Source organism: Homo sapiens, chromosome 22 (genome assembly GCF_000001405.40).
Source record: "Homo sapiens chromosome 22, GRCh38.p14 Primary Assembly".
NCBI lineage: Eukaryota > Metazoa > Chordata > Mammalia > Primates > Hominidae > Homo > Homo sapiens.
The window spans coordinates 46,811,257-46,832,126 of record NC_000022.11 but is presented as its reverse complement, the minus strand read 5'-3'; the positions used below and the strand labels follow the sequence as shown (position 1 = coordinate 46,832,126).

At 46.5% G+C, this 20,870-nt stretch overlaps 1 protein-coding gene across 19 annotated transcripts in view, besides 2 other annotated features; it reads right to left on the bottom strand.

Annotated features, from left to right (window-relative positions):
* Positions 1 to 20,870, bottom strand: part of TBC1D22A (TBC1 domain family member 22A) — a 413,050-nt gene that overhangs the window by 343,573 nt on the left and 48,607 nt on the right.
* Positions 4,723 to 4,881: a silencer, noted in NCBI's record as "fragment chr22:47223143-47223301 (GRCh37/hg19 assembly coordinates)". NCBI's record gives its function as "represses an EF-1alpha promoter that drives an FKBP-Casp9 reporter gene in an ReSE screen in HepG2 liver carcinoma cells {active_cell/tissue: HepG2}" and the evidence as "EXISTENCE:reporter gene assay evidence [ECO:0000049][PMID:32094911]".
* Positions 16,292 to 17,244: an enhancer, noted in NCBI's record as "H3K27ac-H3K4me1 hESC enhancer chr22:47210780-47211732 (GRCh37/hg19 assembly coordinates)". NCBI's record gives its function as "activates a minimal SCP1, AML or CMV promoter by ChIP-STARR-seq in naive H9 embryonic stem cells {active_cell/tissue: H9 hESC(naive)}" and the evidence as "EXISTENCE:reporter gene assay evidence [ECO:0000049][PMID:30033119]".

The window sequence follows — 20,870 nt, the reverse complement described above, 5'->3', positions numbered from 1 at the left end:
CAAACCCAGCCTCTTGCTGGGCCCCCACCATTTTCCAGAACATGAAGCCGAGAAGTTGACTCAAAAAACAAAAGGAATAAGAGAAATACTGACTTGCCTCCCTAAAATCCTGCACTTGCAACTGATGGCTTTTATCCCACTTGGAAAGATACAATAATAATGAGGGGGGAAAGGACCTTCCAACATTGATAACACCAAACAGCAATTCACTGGAATCAGCTAATTTTAATATTTGAAACATTCCAACATTGTATCCTGTCCTTCACTTTCCTGACTTCGCCACGATGATCTATCGCTCCTTCTCTTTCAAACGGATTGCCAAACAGCATTTTATTGGGGATTTCCTCTAAAAGGTAATTGGAGGTTCCTGCAACCCAATTTATAGGTGCATTGTTTCCATTTATTTTAATTTTATTTATAGCCTTCTGCCAGAGCCCGCTGGGCACAGGCAGCTATAAATCAAAGATCACAAACACAGTGCTGCTCTGTTCCTCTGTGGATGCTCACGTATCAGGGGATTGTTTGGTAAGCTCTAATAGGAATACTAATTACTTTTTCAATCAGACCATGGGTGTGAACTCACTTGAAAAACTGCATAAAACAAAATTTCATTATATACTAGATATGATCTTGAACCAAAGGACACCAGGAGTGGTCCTACTTGAGAAGGAACACACAAGCCACGTGCTTGTGCTCCGAGTCCGGGAGTTACTGCAGGTTCAGGCTCATCTGCTGGATGACCTTGGAGCAGGTATCTTGACCTCTGTGGGCCTCGGTTCCCACAACCGTTAAACGAAACAGTGGTAAAGAGAATCTACTCTGGAGAGTTGCTGGAAATCCAACAGGAGACTCTACAGAGACTCCTGCAACAATGTCAGACACACAGGAGGTCCTCCACGTCAGCATCCTCCCTCCTATGGAAATGTCAGGGGTGGGCTCTGTCCATGCTCTCTGCTCCTGCCTGACAAGAGCCCACTGGGTGATTTCGTCCACCAACACCTCCATTCTCATGGTGCCAGGACCCAGTGGCCAACATCAAATGCCTTCGGCCTGCCCAATCTGCTCTTCCTCTCGTGTCCTCTTAGATGAGGTCACTGTCATCCACCGTGACTCCAATGCCCAGCATGACTCACTGGGACCCTGAGGCTCCCTCACACCACCAGTCACTAGATTCTCTGACTCCATCTTCCTCGGAGATACCTCTTAAAGCTTTTCTTTCTTCAGCATCCCCACTCCAACAGCTTGACCCTCTGCCCAGAGCCCGCTCGGCACAGGCAGCTATAAATGTATTTCCCACCTACGCTGACCCTGAATCTATCTGCACTTTTCCAGGCCACTTGCACCAGAATGAACTTTCTAAAAATTATAAATAGGATCACATTACTTCCCAGATTCAAATCCTTCAAGTGCTCTGAGTAGCAGCCTGTATCACTGTTCTTGAAGATTCACTTCCCTGTAAAAGGATTATACATTCCTGCCCATTGATGTTGGGCTTGGCCTTGTGCCATCAGCTGGCCCACGGAAAGTGATGTGACACACACTGTCCTGGCAAAGCTCAAAGAGGCACTGGGACCTTCCACCAGCCCTTTGCTTCTGCTCTGTGCCATGGGAGCGGTCCCAGACAGACTGCACTTTCCAGCCAGGGCTGGAATGAGGACACACACAGAGCTGCTCACAGCTTGCAGCCTACATGCAACATGACGCCCTGCGATTTCTAGCCCTGGGAGATCTGAGGGCTGCTGGAAACACTGCAATCACTGATCTGTCATTTATTGAGAATAGGGCCCTACCCTCCAGGGGCTCGAAGGGTGATGGGAAGTAGTGTGAGTGGAGAGAAGTCACATACGATGAGCAGTCACTCTCAGGCCTGGCAACCACAAGCCTTCAGAAAGCAGACCATCCACCATGCCAGCCTGCCTCCAGTCACTCGCCTCAGCGTCCCCATGCATTCCCGCCTTGGGTGCGGCACGCCTGATGCCCACAATACCTATGCCCAGCTCCACACCCTTCCAGCCCTGCTGTACCATCAGCAACTGGGAAATGTCTCCACTTCAGATCCTTTCCCCACCCAGGGCTCTGCGCTCACAGCACCAGGCAGACATTCTGTCTCTCGCCGAGCACAGCGCCTTGGGAACAAAGCCAGTCTCATTTCCCTGTGTACCCCTGCTCCTTTCATGGTGCCTAGTACTGAGCTGGCACTGAATCTGGTGTCTTGGGATTTTTTTCTTTACGACCTCCATTGTTTAGAAATATCAACACACACAGTTCCTACAAAATTGTTTCACGCGGCACTGAACTCCAAACCTCCGGCCCCCAAACAGGAAAAGAGCCAATTTTGGAAACAAAGGCTAGAGATAACCTCAGAAATCCATGGAGGCAACTAAGAGCCAGAAGACCTTTTGGAGGCATAGAAACGCCGCTGGCCCCATCGGGATGAATAATAGCTGCATTAGCATTCCCTACCTTGGGCAAACAGGCCACTGTAAATGCTTATTTTATGACTCAGTCTTTCATAAATTATGCAGTAAGATTCTCTTAACTTGGTTTTTCTCTGGCCTTCCCAGATGCAGTATTAACTTGGCAGCAATGTGAAGCAGATGTATTCTCTCCGTGCTAGTAAGTCGGTTAGAAGAGTTCTGTCTCTAATCAGCAGCAAAAGCAGAGGTGACTTCAGGAGCATCAGGGAGCACAGGAAGAGAGAAGCAACAACAGGACCATCCCTCACAAACCCCTACTCACCAGGCCATGAAGGGGGTGAGTTCCACAACATACATTTTCAAGACATCCCAAACATTACCTAATTTCACCAGGTACCTACGTAATATGTGCCCTGAACCACGGAACCTGAAGATGAATAAGATGCACCCCTACCCTGAGGGCTCACAGCCCAGGCCACAAGTAACTATGAAACAATGCGTTTGATTACTGCACAATTAATTTTGTAAGGACAGAGAGAAGAGTCAAAGAAAAAAGAGCCACAAAGAGGAGGTGCTATTTGATCCGACACTTGGAGAATGCACAGAAGCGAAGCAGGGAAACCCCCACCCCTGACCACCAGCAGAAATGTGGAGGGGGTGGGGGACACATCTGGGCTCTCATCCCAGACCTGTGACATTGGAGAGTGTGTGACCTTAAGGACTTTGTTTACTGTATCAGTGCCTCTAGCTCATCTGAAACAGACAATATAGAACCTGCCATGTAGGTCGTTTCAAGTATGAAATAAGACCCATGAGGTACTAAGAACAGCACCAGGCACAAAGGAAATGAGCGCTCAACGTGAGGGCGTGTATCTGTGTGTGCACATGTGCACAGCTCACCTGAAGAGCAGAGATGAGCCCATGTGGCTAGAGTGACAGTGGGTGGCAGAGAACAGTCCAAACAGAGACAGGAGGGTGGGAGAAGGCCTAAGTGGGAGGTGGTGAGAGGTGTGGCCTCCTGTCCCAGGCTGAGGAGTCTGGACTCTGAGCTCCATGCAGGAGGCTAACCAAGGATCTGAAAGCAGAAGCTCAGGTAAGCAGACTGGCCTCTAACAAGATCTCCTGTGGGAGACGGGCAGGAAGAGGTAAGCTGGACGCCCTTGGGCCAGACGGGAGACTCCCAAAGCGGCCCAGGCCAGAGACAGGGAGAGTGTGAACTCCAGGACAGGCCGTGGGAGTGGGTAGAGAAATGCAACAGACAAACATCTCACAGTGACAAACATCTCGCAGTGGCCCAGGTAGTTCTTCAAGTGGACATGTTGTTAGAACCAGAATGTGAACAACTAAGAGGACAACAGGCTGCTTCAAAGGCTTCTTGCCTTTTCAATCTTTAATTCCTTTGTCTTTCTTCCTGCAGAATTATGAGGCCTCCATTTTTTAACTTTATCACACTTACATATATTTATTAATCCGTGGGTGAGAAATCATGCTGAGCAAATGTATCCCACCTCCATCCATTCTCTCAAATACAAAAGAAAAATCCCACTGGAGTCCTGACGCTGCACCAGAACCTCTGCTGTGTTGGAAGGCACGGGAGTGTGGAGCAGCCCCCTGGCCTCAAGATGCTTCTAATCTTAGTCAATGGCACACGGAAGTCCCTGGGGCGTGAAAGTCCTGGGAATAATCTGCAGTGACACCTTGTGGGGAAATTACACTGCACGACGCACAGGCCTAACAACACTTGAGATTGTGTTAGGGTGGGGAGCACAAAGGGGAGCACCCATGCCATATATCCGCACAAAGAGCTGCAGAGCGGCCTTAACGCTGCTCACGTGGTTGAGACAGACAGTCCCTGCGGATAAGACAAGCACCTCCAGATGAAGTCTTCACTGCCCGCCCCAGTAGAAAGTGGCCCATCATCCATCATCCTGGGACCCCAGTACGCTCCACCCAGGTACTCTCAGAGAAGAGAGGAGTCATAGGTCACCCTTCAGAAGCCCACCTAAGGCTGAGACCTCACTCACACCACCAGGCTGCACAAAGTGACCAAGCCCACACGCATCCTCAAGTGGAAATGACAGCAGCTCTCTCTGGGCAGGCCGATCACCTAGGCTGATCAGACGTTCTGCTGGCGGCCAGGACTCGTTTTGATACGAGAAGACTACGACTTATAAAATACCATTTGGTACACGCATGTTCAAAAGGTAAGTCCGTGAGAAAGGAAAGCAGATTCCGAAGGGGCTCTGGGTGGCTGAAATGCCTTAGGGATAGGCAATGTGGGTGAGGTAGTCATGTTTTAGAAACACAAGCTGCACCGATGGTGAAAATGCCAACGTCATTAAGAGGACATTGAACACAGTTTTCTCCCGAGGTGATGCATTCGCTGCATGGGAGCTCAGGAACGCCGACTCGGCCTGCATGACTTGCCCCACGTGAGGTCACAACACCATCGCGTGGTGACGGCGGGCAGAGCACTCTCCAAGGTAAGTTAGAAGCCTGACCTGAACAGGCAGGGGGCGCCATGGGACCCGGGAGACCCCACTCACCTGAGGACACAGATTATAACCAAAGAGTGCTGAGGAATCGTGGCACTTATAAATAGGTCGTGAAGATAATTTTAACATAATTTGCTTTCCAGGCACAAAGAACCCTGTCAATCAACTCTACAACAGGATAGAGGAAAGAGTCTCTGTTGATGGCTTCCTGGCAAAGGAAGAAAAACAGATTTTACAGTGAGCTAATCTGTCTTTCAAAAAAAAAAAAACGGAAACTAAAACCAGATTTACGTTTTCGTGTATTCATTCAACAGCTATCTGAGTGCTGACTGCAAGCCAGGAACCGTCCTGCACAGCGTCCACAAGTTTCACTCTGGATGGGGCAAGCGTCTGCCCAGGTTCAAATCCTGACTCTGCTGCGTGGGTGCTATGGGATTGTCCAGTCACCCCTCTGAAACTCATGTCCTCATCTCTAAAATGGGTACAACACTTCACTTTGTAGGACCATAGCACTCAAGCAAGCTCCGGGACAGTCTCCGGGACCTCGCTTCCACCCAGGCTGGCCCTGCTGAGCCTCACAGGAGCCCTGGGTGCCCAAGCTCCACCTGCATCCCATCCACCTTCCAGGACACCAGGACACGAAAAGCCCTCTCCCAAACACACTAGGACAAGACAAAACCATCAGCGAAAAATCCGCTCAGGAAATTGACAGCAGAAACACAGATGGCCCATAAGATGTGAAAAAAGAAAACTTGATCAAGTCTTAAAAATAGGCATATCTTTGGAAACAATAATTTTACATTGAGTAATTATCCCAAGAAAATAACCAGAGATGAGAGCTAAGATGTGAGTACTAAGATATCTGAGGCAGTGTTTAATGGGAAAAACTTGGAAGAAACAAATGGAGAACAGGGGCGGCCAGGAAAGTGTGGCCCAGCCAAACAATGGAACCCCACATTGGTACCGAATGTCGGCTTGCAGAAGAACATCCAGTCACACAAAGGGCCACAGTTTAGCGTTAAAAGAAGACCACCAGCTGGGTGTGGTGGCTCACGCCTATAATCCCAGCACTTTGGGAGGCCAAGGTGGGCGGATCACGAGGTCAGGAGATCGAGACCATCATGGCTAACACGGTGAAACCCCATCTCACTAAAAATACAAAAAATTAGCCAGGCGTGGTGGTGGGCACCTGCAGTCCCAGCTACTCGGGAGGCTGAGGCAGGAGAATGGCGTGAACCCGGGAGATGGAGCTTGCAGTAAGCCGAGATGGCGCCACTGTACTCCAGCCTGGGCGACAGAGCAAGACTCCGTTTCAAAAAAAAAAAAAAAGAAGACCACCACAGTGTCTCATCACCCAGGTGAACTTCTGTTTGAAAAACGTTTTTTCATATTACATATGCAATATGTGAGGGCAATTTTTATTTAAAACAATTCAGTTTAGGCTGGGTGTGGTGGTTCATACCTGTAATCCCAGCACTTTGGGGAGGCCAAAGCGGGTGGATCACTTAAGGCCAGAAATTCGAGACCAGCCTGGCCAACATGGCAAAACCCCGTCTCTACTAAAAAGACAAAAATTAGCCAGGCATGGTGGTGTATGCTTGTAATCCCAGCTACTTGGGAGGCTGAGGCACAAGAATCGCTTGAACCTGGGAGGCAGCGTTTGCAGTGAGCTGAGATCGTGCCACTGCACTCCAGCCCGGGTGATAGAGTGAGACTCTGTCTCAAAAGAAAAAAAACAATTCACTGTAATCTTTTTTGGCAAGTGGGTATTATATAATTCATATGAAGGGAGAGAACAAAGTTCTCTGCATCTCCTGGTAAAGGGAGACGGGCAGATTCCAAAGGCAGAGCCATTGCGGGTCCCCTGTGCTGGTGAGGGGAGCTGGGCCCCTGCAGAGAGGAAACACAGCACAGGCATGGGCACGGCGGGGTTCAGACCCCCAGGAAGAAAAAGGCACCTCTAAGAAATTCCTGGTGGCAAAAGGAATTTCTCTGGGGGGAACGTGGATGTTTAGTCATCGATTTTAAGTTATTACATAACTATTACATTATCCCTGACACTCCAAAACTCCACTGACGCCTGCTGCACACGCAAATGCCTTGCGTTAAGGGAAAACACAGGCACCACCCTTCTTTGCAGAATTAAAAATGTATTGACCCAAGCAGATCAGCACATGAAAAAGAATGCTGGGCAGGCCAGGTCTCAATGTAACTCCAGCATCCACACCCCACGTCCCCATCCTGGCATCTGCCTCGGCTACAGATCACTACAGACACACCTGTGTCCAGCTGCCCACTTGACACCCTGACTGATGGCTCAGGGCACCTCAGGCTTTACATGTCCCAAGCCAAATTCCGTCTCTTTTCTCCCCAAATCTGCTCCTCTCCAAGTTGCCCCATCCTCAACAGCCACTCCTGATGGCCCTCCTTCCCTCATCCTTCACACCCAGTCCCTCAACAAGCCTCCTCCCCACAGCTTTAAAATACACCCCCTCAAACCCCAGACTTCTCATCACCTCCTCCACCTCCACCGACTCCAGCCACCACCCTCCTAACTGGTCTTCCTACCTCCACAGAAAAGCCACAGGGATCTTTCTGAAAGCCTAAGTCGAATCGCGCCAGCCCCAGCTCAAACCTTCCACTGGCTTTCCACCACAACTAGCATGGAATGTGACCTCCTTCCACCGCCCTCAGGGGCCTGCAGGATGCAGCTCTGATTCCCCTCCCTCCTCGCTCGCCTCCAAGCTCCACCTTCACTTCACTGCAGCCACAGCGGCCTTCTTGGAGAAGGACCACATGCACACCAAGCTCATCCCCACACACCCCTCCTTAGAGGGTTATGTGCCCCCAAATCATCAGGTGGCTATCTCCTCTCATCCTTTGGGTCTACGCTTCACTGTCACCCCATCAGAATGACCATCCAAATCACCTTCATAAGCAGCCCCTTCTTCACCCCTGCACCGTCCAACACAGGAGCCTCGAGCCACGGAAGCTACAGGACACCCAAAAAGTGGTCCAGCTGAGAGACGCTCTAAGTAGGAAACACACTCTAGGCTTAGTACAGAAAACTGAGTGTAAGTTATCTCATTGACAGTTTTTATATCTATTATATACTGAATTTATAACGTGTTATGGTGATATAGTTTATATATTATATTAATAAAATGTATTACTAAAACTCATCTCACCTGTTGCTTGCTACTTCCTTACCACGGCTACAGGGACACTTTAAATCACACCCGGGCTGGCACTGTCGCCCTGGGTGGTGCTGCCCCAGACCATGGTCCTGCATCATCTGAATCACAGCTCCACTGTCCATCCCACTTGTGTGCGGATGGGGTCAGGTGTGCGTGTGCAGCACCTGCTGGTCCTGGTCACGGCCGCACTCCCGGCTCCTGTGACGGCATGTGGCACGCAGCAGGCTCTTACCCCAGAAGTGCTGTGAGCTGATTAAATTACATCAAGAGTTCCGGAGAAGGCAGAGCAGACCCAGCAGTGACCATGAGAAGAAAACTCAATAGCATCGCTAACATTTATTAAGTACTGCCCACGTGCCAGGCACTATTCTAAGACCCTGCCTTCCATGAATTCATTGAATCCTCCCCGTAAGTGGTGAGGCAGGATTCAAGCCACACTGCAGTCTGCATCCTGCCCAGCATGGACAACGGCACAAACACCACGCGGGCACCTGCCACACAGCTTCCCATGCCCTGAGAACTCACCCAGGGCCCTGGGCCTCCCTGAATGGGCCTGCCCTTCCCAGGGGACCTCAAATGGCAGGTAGGGTACAGTAGTATCAACCACACGAAGAACAGAAACTGAATGGAGCTGGTGATGCACACGTGGCGATTTCTTTGCAGCAGTGTTCTATATTTTCCAAATTTTTCTATAATAAACGTGCATTATGTATATAAGCCTAAACTTTTCTATATCACACCTTTGAATAAATCAGATTTGTAAGGCTGTGGGTCACCATGAATCACCACAGTTTGGTGTTGCCCTGGCTTTTGGATTCTTCACAGAGACACTGTCATGGACCCTCAACCTTATACCTCATTCGGCCTCCTACATGTGTATTTCTTCAAAGAAGACAGTAAGATGCTTTGGATTTCAAATTGCAGTCACTCCCAGAAGCCTGATGCAGCCGGATACTTGTGGTTCCTGACAGCAGAGGTTACCCACATTGGTCTGAATGGTCCCAGCACCGACTCTCTTGCTGTCCTTTACCCTAGGATAGTGGTTTTCAACCCAGGAATGATGGGGTCTCTGGCTTGGGGAGCTCCCCAGGAGACAGGCAATTCTCACATATACTGGAGCTCACCTAGATCTTAGCCCAGGGTCCCCATTCAAGCAAAAGTAGGGCCCCTTCATTTGGTGACCTCAGCCCCCACCAACCCTTAGCCCAGACAAGTGGGTTCTCCCCCAGCAAAAGACACCCTCTCCACCAAGGGACAAAGTGCTTCATTAAGCGGGTCCTGCTCCCCATGCCACCCAACTGGGTGGGACCCTCCAACAGGGGTTATCAGATACCCTATAAAGGACAGATCCTGCTGGCATCAGGTTGGTGCACCTAAAGGTCAGAGGTTCCAGAAGAAGCAGGAGGCACCCATCTTTGCTGCTCTCCAGCCTCCATGAGTGACATCTCTAGGCATGGGAGTGAATCAGTTGAATAGGGCCTGAAGTGAACCCCCAGCAAACTGCAGCAGCCCTACAGAACAGGGACCTGACTATTGCAAGAAAAACAAACAGGCAGAAAGCGACAACAACATCAACAACAAAAAGTCCCCCAAAAAAAACCCCAACTAAGGGTCAGCAGCCTCAAAGACCGAAACTAGACAAACTCACAAAGATGAGAAAGAATCAACGAAAAAATGCTGAAAACCCAAAAGGCCAGAGTGCCTCATCTCCTCCAAATGATCACAGTGTCTCTCCATCAAGGGCACAGAACTGGACAGAAGATCAGATGGACAAATTGACAGGAGTAGGCTTCAGCAGATGGGTAATAAAAAACTACACTGAGCTAAAGGAGCATGTTCTAACCCAATGCAAAGAAGCTAAGAACCTTGATAAAAGGTGAGAGGAACTGCTAACTAGAATAACAAGTTTAGAGAGGAACATAAATGACCTGACGGAGCTGAAAAACACAGCATGAGATCTTCGTGAAGCAAACACAAGTATCAACAGCTGAATCGACCAAGCAGAAGAAAGGATATCAGAGTTTGAAGACCACATTAATGAAATAAGGTATGCAGACAAGAATAGAGAAAAAAGAATGAAAAAGAATGAACAAAGCCTCCAAGAAATATGAGACTTCATAAAATGACCGAACCTACGATTGCCTGGAGTACCAGAAGGGGATGGGGAGAATGGAAACAAGCTGGAAATCTCACTTCAGGATATTTACCCAGGAGAACTTCCCCAACCTAGCAAGACGGGCCAACATGTAAATTCGGGAAATACAGAGAACACCATTAAGATACTCCACAAGAAGATCAACCGCAAGACACATAATCATCAAATTCTCCAAGGTCAAAATGAAGGAAAAACTGTTAAGAACAGCCAGAGAGAAAGGCCAGGTCACCCACAAAGGGAAGCCCATCAGACTAACAGCATAAACTCTACAAGCTAGAAGAGAAAGAATCAATATTCAACATTCTTAAAGAAAAGAATTTTCAACCCAAAATTTCACATCCAGCCAAACTAAGCTTCATAAGCAAAGGAGAAATAAAATCCTTTCCACACAAGCAAATGCTGAGGGATTTTGTTACCACCAGATAAACTGCAGAGCTCTGCCCTGCAAGAGCTCCCAAAAGAAGCACTAAATATGGAAAGGAAAAACCGGTACCAGCCACTGCAAAAAAACACCAAAATATAAAGACCAATGACACTATGAAGCAACTGCATCAACTAGTGTGCAAAATAACCAGATAGCATCATGATGACAGGACCAAATTCACACATAACAATACTAACTTTATATGTAAATGGGCTAAATGCCCCCAATTAAAAGACACAGACTGGCAAACTGGATAAGGAGTAAAGACTCATCAGTGTGCTGTATTCAAGAGACCCATCTTACACACAAAGACACACACAGACTCGAAATAAAGGGATGCAGGAAAATATACCAAGCAGATGGAAAGCAAAAAAAAAAAAAAAAAGCAGGGGTTGCAATCCTCGTCTCTGATAAAACAGACTTTAAACCAACAAAGATCAAAAAAGACAAAGAAGGGCATTACATAATGATAAAGGGAAGAATTCAACAAGAAGAGCTAACTATTCTGAATATATAAGCAACCAATACAGCAGCACCAAGATTCATAAAGCAAGTTCTTAGAGACCTACAAAGAGACTTAGACTCCCACACAATAACAGTGGGAGACTTTAACACCCCACTATCAGTATTAGATCAACAAGACAGAAAATTAACAAGGACATTCAGGACTTGAACTCAGCTCTGGACCAAGTGGACCTCGTAGATGTCTATGGAACTCTCAACTCCAAATCAACAGAATATACATTCTTCTCAGTGCCACATGGCGCTTATTCTAAAATCGACCACATAATTGGAAGTAAAACACTCCTCAGCAAATGCAAAAGAACTGAAATCATAGCAGTCTCTCAGACCACAGTGCAATCAAATTAGAATTCAGGATTAAGAAATCACTCAAAATCACATAATTTCATGGAAATTGAATAACTTGCTCCTGAATGACTCCTGGGTACATAATGAAATTAAGGCAGAAATCAAAAAGTTCTTTGAAACCAGTGAGAACAAAGAGACAATGTACCAGCATCTCTGGGACACAGCTAGAGCAGTGTTAAGAGGGAAATTTATAGCACTAAATGCCCACATTAGAAAGCCAGAAAGATCTCAAATCGACGCCCTAACATCACAATTAAAAGAGCTAGAAGAGGCAAGAGCAAACTAATCCAAAAGCTAGCAGAAGACAAAAAATAACTAAGATCAGAGAAGAATTGAAGGAGACTGAGACACAAAAAACCCTCCAAAAAATCAACAAATCCAGGAGCTGGGTTATTGAAAAAATGAACAAATAGATGGCTAGCTGGACTAATAAAGAAAAAGGGAGAGAAGAATCAAAGAGACACGATAAAAAGTGATAAAGGAGATATCACCACTGACCCCACAGAAATACAAACTACCATCAGAGAATACTATAAACACCTCTATGCAAATAAACTAGAAAATCCAGACAAAATGGATAAATTCCTAGATGCATATACCCTAACTAGACTAAACCAGGAAGAAGCTGAATCCCTAAATAGACCAATAACAAGCTCTGAAATTGAGGCAGTAATTAATAGCCTACCAACCAAAAAAAGTCCAGGACCAGACAAATTCACAGTTGAATTCTACCAGAAATACAAAGAGGAGCTGGTACCATTCCTTCTGAAACTATTCCAAACAATTGAAAAAGAGGGACTCCTCCCTAACTCATTTTATGAAACCAGCATCATCCTCAGTCCAAAACTGGTAAGAGACACAACAAAAAAAGAAAACTTCAGGCCAATATCCCTGATGAACATCAATGCGAAAATCCTCAATAAAATACTGGCGAACCAAATCCAGCAGCACATCAAAAAGCTTATCCACCATGATCAGGTAGGCTTCATCCCTGGGATTCAAGGCTGGTTCAACATATGCAAATCAATAAACATAATCCATCACATAAACAGAACCAATGACAAAAAACCACGATTATCTCAACAGATACAGAAAAGGCCTTTGATAAAATTCAACATCACATCCCTTCATGTTAAAAACTCTCAATAAACTAGGTATTGATGGAACATATCTCAAAATAATAAGAGCTATTTATGATGAACCCACAGCCAATATCATATTGAATGGGCAAAAGCTGGAAGCATTCCCTCTGAAAACTGGTACAAGACAAGGATGCCCTCTCTCACCACTCCTATTCAACACAGTACTGGAAGTTCTGGCCAGGGCAATCAGGCAAGAGAAAGAAATAAAGGGTATTCAAATAGGAAGAGAGGAGTCAAGTTGTCTCTGTTTGCAGATGACATGATTTTATATTTAGAAAACCCCATCAGCTCAGCCCAAAAACTTCTGAAACTGATAAGCAACTTCAGCAAAGTCTCAGGATACAAAACCAATGTGCAAAAATCACAAGTATTCCTTTACACCAACAATAGGCAAGCAGAGAGTCAAATCATGAATGAACTCACATTCACAATTGCTACAAAGAGAATAAAATACCAAGGAATACAGCTAACAAGGGATGTGAAGGACCTCTTCAAGGAGAACTACAAACCACTGCTCAAGGAAGTAACAGAATATAAACAAAGGAAAACACATTCCATCCTCATCAATGGGAAGAATCAACATCGTAAAAATGGCCATACTGCCCAAAGTACTTTACAGATTCAATGCTATTCCCATCAAACTACCATTGACATTCTTCACAGAATTAGAAAAAACTATTTTAAATTTCATACGGAATCAAACCCCATATAGCCAAGACAATCCTAGCAAAAAGAACAAAGCTAGAAGCATCATGCTACCTGACTACAAGGCTACAGTAATCAAAACTGCATGGTACTGGTACCAAAACAGACATATAGACCAATGGAGCAGAACAGAGACCTCAGAAGTAACACCACATACTTACAGCCATCTATCTGATCTTCAACAAACCTGACAAAAACAAGCAATGAGGAAAGGATCTCCTCTTCAGTAAATGGTGCTGGGAAAACTGGCTACCCATATGCACAAAACTACAACTGGACCCCTTCCTTATACCTTAAACAAAAATTAACTCAAGATGGCTTAAAGACTTACATGTAAAACCCAAAACCATAAAAACCCTAGAAGAAAACCTAGGCAATACCATTCAGGACATAGGCATGGGCAAAGACTTCATGATAAAAACACCAAAAGCAACTGCAACATAAGCCAAAATTGACAAATGAGATCCAATTAAACTAAAGAGCTTCTGCAGAGCAAAAGAAACTATCATCAAAATGAACAGGCAACTTACAGAATGGGAGAAAATTTTTGCAATCTATCCATCTGACAAAGGTCTAATATCCAGAATCTACAAGGAACTTAAATTTACAAGTAAAAAACAACCCCATCAAAAAGTGGGAGAAGGATATGAACAGATACTTCTCAAAAGAAGACATTTATGCGGCCAAGAAACATTTAAAAAAGCTCAACATCACTGATCATCAGATAAATGCAAATCAAAACCACAATGAGACACCATCTCACACCAGCCAGAATAGCAATTATTAAAAAGTCAGGAAACAACAGATGCTGGTGAGGCTACGGAGAAATGGGAATACTTTTACACTGCTGGTGGGAATGTAAATTAGTTCAACCACTGTGGAAGACGGTATGGCGATTTTCCAAGGATCTAGAACCAGAAATACTATCTGACCCAGCAATCCCATTACTGGGTATATACCCAAAAGAATATAAATCATTCTACTATGAAGATACGTGCACACACATATGTTTACTGCAACACTATTTACAATAGCAAAGACATGGAACCAACCCAAATGCCCATCAATGATAGACTACATAAAGAAAATGTGGTACATATACACCATGGAATACTATGCAGCCATAAAAAGGAATGAGATCATGTCCTTTGCAGGGACATGGATGAAGCTGGAAGCTATCATCCTCAGCAAACCAATACAGGAACAGAAAACCAAACATAGCATGTTCTCACTCATAGCTGGGAGTTGAACAATGAGAACACATGGACACAGAGAGCGGAACAACACACACCAGCACCCGTTGGTGGGCGGGTGAGGGGAGGGAATTTAGAGGACAGGTCAACAGGTGACAGGTCAATAGGTGCAGCAAACCACCATGGCACACGTAACCTACGTAACAAACCTGCACATTCTGCACCTGTATCCCAGATTTTTTTTAGAAGGAATAAAGAAAAAAAAAAAGGACAACCTAGTATCCTCATATACTTACAGCAATGTGAATAGGGAATTGGACTCATCCAATACAGCCCCACTTATTACAGCCAATGGGTAGAAGTTACAGAGAAAGCTATTCCAGTACAACCAAAAGGAAAAAAAAATTTTAAGCCACTCTCTTGAGATACGATTGACTTACAAAAAGATGTGCCTACTTAAATGTATACAACTTGATGAGTTTAGAAAGAATTTTCTAAGCTGTGCAATACAAGATGTTCTTTTTACTGGAAGTCTTTAATGTTCGAACATCAGCATTTTGCCTATGTGAAAAGGACACTGAGAGAATTCAGATGTTAAGATCTGATAATTAGGGAATCAGAGGGAATGACCCTTTGAATGAGGTTCAATCAGAGGGAATGACCCCATGAATAAGGTTTTCAGTTTTCACAAGCTCTACCCGCTTCCTGTAGACCACCACGACCGTGAAATGTTAAAGTGGCCTGTGAATAAGCAGCTCTGTAGACAAATGTTAGGAAATGTGGCCTATCTTATTTTGGTCATGGGGATTGATAATATGCATAAGCATCAAAAGGCTCTGAAAAGCCCAAAAAAGAAAAAAAAAGAATCATGACTCATCCTGTCATCTACCACGTGGCTAACTTCCCTGTACTGTTCCCCACCTCACTCCACTGCCTAAAGCAAAGAGCCTCACACACAATGTGCCCCAATAAAATCTACTGCTGTTGAGATGGTACTATTCTTGGGCTGACTTCTGATGGGACTGGTTCTCCTTCAAGTCCTCCACAGAATTTACCTAATCTTATTGGAAAGAATAACTTCATTCAGTGCTTAGAGAAAGGCAGTAAATTTCTTGAAAAGGACAGTTTTTGGCTGAGATAAGGGAAAGAGTAAACACAGCTCCAGGCAGAGCTTACTCTTCAGTTTACCAAATCATTACCAAGCATGGCCCTGAGCCAGGCCCGGCACCAAGCCCAATCCCGCCCCTGTGATACCCTCCAAACCAAAGTGTGGGGGAACGAGGCACATGGGCCACAGACAGCTTCCAGTGGGGAGGCTCAGGGACAGCACCGCAGGCAGAGGAGGAGCTGCCGCCAAGAGCAGGCAGGCAGGCGGCCGGCCGCAGCAGGAGGTCCAGGGCAGGCTCCCAGGACACTCGCAGCAGCCAGAGGGCCAGAGGCTTGGGACCCTATCCCAAGGGTGTGAGTGTGATTGTTAAAGAACTGTAGGCAGGGAAATGACACCACCTGCAGGGTAAAATCCAATCTGCTTCTCGTTCCCCAGAGCCCTCCCCAAGGCTGCAGTGGGACCTACCTGCCCATGGCGCACGCAGGTATACCCCACGGGCTCCAGCCGATTATCTCCACTCACCCCCGACCCACCAGCAGGCCTCCCCTCCACGCAGGCCCTCTCCCTCCATCTTCCATCCTCCCACCAGCCAAACAAGCCCCATCCACGGAGGTCCAGGCACCCATCCCCTTCCTTCACCTTGCCATAAAGCTGGAATTTTCCTGTTTTGCCTGGTCTCTCAACATGGATGAGCTGCTACAGGGCAGGGAGCACCACTCACAAATACATCTTTGTATCGTCAGTGCCCAGCACCAGGCAGATGCTTAAGAAACATTTTCCGAGTAAATGAGTGAACAAATCAATGAGCAAATGACTGAATTCATGAGTGAGCAAACAAGTGAATAAATTAGAAAGAGAAATGGGCACCGTCTTGTTAGAACTGCCCACCAATCCTCTGAAGAATTTAGAAAGTCTGAAGCAGAAAAACCTTGGCAAATCAAACACAGGGGAAGTAGGATTGCGTACTCTGAGCGAGAAAACATCCAAAGGTCCAAATAAAGGACTCTGTGCCCAGGGGCACTTCAATTCAAAAACACTGATACAGAGGAAACGAAGGGCAAAGAGTAATTAAGTCAACAGCGGCTATCAAACTGCATGGGGCCAGCAGGGAACCGCAGGGACAAGCAAGACAACACGAGTGAACAAGCGACCGCCGCACAGCTCTGTTTAACACCGAGTCCTCGCCCCAGGGCTCACGCCATGGAAATACACAAGGAAGTGTTCAAGAGTTATGTCTCAGGGGTGTGTCTCACAGGTTAGTAATTACAATAAATAAAAAACAACATCAAAAACAAAACTGGAAACAACTTAAACACCCAAATAATAGAATGTCTTCAGAAATGTTTCACCTACAAGCAAATGGAAGAAATGAATGTATTTTGATAACTATTATAAAGCCATGAACAATCATGTTTTCAAAGAAAGTTAGTGTCATGGGAAAAGACATTATTTAAAATAAGTAAAAATAGGCCGGGCATGGTGGCTCACACCTGTAATCCCACCACTTGGGAGGGTGAGGTGGGTGGATCACCTGAGGTCAGGGGTTCGAGACCAGCATGACCAACATGGTGAAACCCTGTCTCTACTAAAAATACAAAAAAAAAAAAAAATAGCCAGTGTGGTGGCAGCGGCCTGTAACCCCAGCTACTCGGGAGCTGATGCAGGAGAATTGCTTGAACCTGTGAGGCGGAGGTTGCAGTGAGCCGGGACCTTGTCATTGCACTCCAGCCTGGGCAACAGAGTGAGACTCCATCTCAAAAAAAAAATTAAAAATAAAATAAATATAAGAAGATATATAATTAGATACACTGCTTAATCTCAAGTCTACGTGAAAAGGAAAACACACACACACAGCCCTCACAAAAAGACAAAGAAGATCAGCTTTTTTAACGTCCTGGGGAATCCAGGGTGGTAGTTTACATGGGTTTTTATCTTTCTTCCTGAGACTGGTCTTGGCAGGTTGCACAGCAGGCAGGAGAGCCTGTGCCCAGTGGACTCAGACATTCCTAAGTTTGAGCCCTGGCTCTGTGACGTCAAAATCTTGGAATGTCAGGCATGTTTCTTAACCCCTTCAAGCCTCAGTTTCCTCATCTGTCAAACAGGAATAAAAATAGCATCCACTTCACAGGACTACTGTGAGAAATGATCAAGAAAATATACATCAAGGACTCCACACCCCACACCTGGCACATAGCATTAGATTCTATTATTTTTCTTATTATTACTCTCAGTAGTTTCTAAATTTCAAACACTGACCATCTGTAATTTTAAATAATATTTAAGAATAGCAAAGATGAATGTAAGTAAATATTCTCTAAGAAGGTAAGGCTGGTGCTCCTGCCACGCCAGCCTGTGGGTGAAGAGGCCAGGGTGTGCGCTGACTATGCAAGGGCTGCGGAAAGGCAGAAACCAGCAACAGCTTTCTGGTCGCCACCAAGGCTCCTGGAAGGAGCACCAGGGCTCAGCCTCCTATGTCTGACAAAGAGATTCAGATGTCCAAACCACGCCACTTTCCCAAATACTGTCTGCATTTTTAGATCTGATTTCTTGTCCGTCAGGTGCCCCTGCCTTCATGGAACCCCTGCCCCAGTCCTGGGCTGAGGAGGTGGCTCAGCCTCCGGGGCCCAGCACAGACAGGATAACTTCTCTGCAGCTATTCTGGCCCCTGAAGGCCCACCTGCTCCCACCCCCAGCCAAATCCCCAGCAGAATTCATTACTCGTTCCTCTGTGTTTCCACGGAACTTCTGACATATGCTTAAGGGCCCTAACCCTCCCTAGTTCTACCGTATTATCTGCGGCAGATCTCTTTCTCCATTGGAGCAGAAGCCTTTGGGTCCCCTGTGCCTCGCCTGGTAGGAGCTCACTACATATTGTAATTGAATGAAATAATCAGAAATAATTTTCACTATTATTAAAGCATTCTTCTTCTACCCTGGGAAAACGGAAAAGCCAATAAAAAGTTAAAGTAAAAATAAGATTTCTCCCTCTCCAGAGAAGTCACCCATACTGGCCAAAGCAAATTTAAAATCTCACTGAAAATAACTGTAAATTAAATGCCGCATACTAAGGATCAAAAAATGACTTTGCTAAATAGATCTTATTCTTTAATATGTGGCTTAGGTAATAGGGACAGAATTTCCAAGCACAGAAGCCCCAAGCCTAGAAAAGTTTCAATGACTTCTGATGGAACAGGCACACACAAGGAAATCTGTGTCTTACGAATTCAATATACACTTTATTGAGGAAATAACCATGAATAAATGGAAGAAAAGAGTGTACTTTAGTGAAGTATTTAATGGTCTGATCTAGAAGGTCATTAAAGTAAAGGAAGAAGCAAATGAAATGCAGTGGCCTGCATACAGAAAGACCTGCGGAGCCGCCTGGGAGACAAAGAGCGGACCAAGGGGCAGCAGCGGCCGCATAAATCACCTCACGGACAGCTCCGGACACGACAGACTCTATCAATAACAGGAAAGAGACCGTACACGCCACAAAGATCAACTGCAGCATGGAAAGAGTCAAAAGAAGCATCAAATGGCTTGAAAGAACCAAAGCAAAAAAGATAAATGCTAACATTAAGTCGAAACAAGCAAATTTAAGCTTACGAGGATTAGGAAACGTTTTCTTGTCAACTGAATAGCAGTCCCTACATTTGACAAGTATGATAATAAAACAAGGGTCAGTAAAGCCATCCCAAAGTTTGAGTTACCTGGCTGCATCTTCAACTAAAATCCATTTTCGCTAAACACAGTGAGCCTTCTGCCAATTCCTCAATCAACTTCACGGAAAACCCATTTCAAAACCCCCATCGAGCTAAACCAAAGCCACACACAGCCAGCAGAAAGGCGGCAGTCCCCACAGGGGTGGGCAGTGTCCCCAAAGGGGTGGGAAGAGTGGCTGACGAGGCTGTGAGGCCAGGCAGCCCACAGTGTGACCAACCCGTGGGAGCCCCAGAGCCTGCAAACTTCAAATGCCAGCCTCACATCTGGGCCACTGTGATCCCCATGATTCATGGGTGCTCCGTGTCTCCTCAGCACCACAAGCCCACCCAAACAGCCTCATTATCCTTGTGCCTGCTGTGCCCACAGGGGGTGCAGAGAAGCCAGCGCTGGTGCCAGGGAACGAGCAGGCAGGAGGAGGCAGCGGCAGGGGAGCAGAAGCTGCCACCAGACCCAGAAACGGCATGAGGGAGTTCCAAACAGCCACAGCTCAGAGCACAGCTAATTCACCTGCTGCTGAATTTCAAAGTGTCACCCCCACGTCACTTCCAGCCCTACAGCAGGATAATCACAAAGCACCAGAAGCCCGATTAACCTCCCCAAAGCACAGCTCTGATCATTCCAATCCCTGCCCAAAACCTTCTGGGACTCCCAACTACACACAGAACAAAGATTTCCAGACCTTGGCAACCACCTGGACCAATTCCTTGATTTTACTGGTAGGGAAACTGAGGCTACGGCGGGATTAAGTAGCTGGACGGTCTGAGGGTGGCAGAGGCAGGATCTGAGCACGGGATCTCAGCACCTCCTCTCCATCTCCAGTGGCTTTCTCATGGCACCACAGCTGCCTCAAATCGAATGCCTTCACCTGGCGGGCCAGACCTTCCAAGAACAGACCCCAGCTGCATTTTTGGCTTTTCCTACCACTGCCTTCTTCTGAAACTATCAGTCCTGCAGGGCGACAGACTGGATGCTGGCTCTCTCTGACACACCTGGCCTCGAGTGCTGGCTCCACTAGCTGGGCGACCCTGAGCCAGACACTGAGCCTCTGTAAGTCTCTAGGAATCGCAGGGGCACTGCACACAACGCGCTCAGCACGCAGCTCGATACACCGTTGTGACCGTTGCTTGTGACTGTTGCTGCTGCTGCCACCCTCGCCACTCAGACTCCACTCTGCCTCCTCCGCTCAACTCTCCGCTTAAGTGAGTCCCTCCCTAAGAGAGGCTTGCCCCATCTCCCACTATGGAAATCACACCCATGAGACAAGATGCACCCACAAATGCCAGCCTTCAGAAGCCACACAACTCAAGTGCTCATCACCGTCCAGCACAGGGCCTGGCACAGCAGGCACCTACTCGTGTCTGACGGATGAATGAAGAGATGGGAACCTTGCTTTCTTGTCACCTGTGTCTCTCTTCTGGTTCCACCCCACCCCAGAATCTGT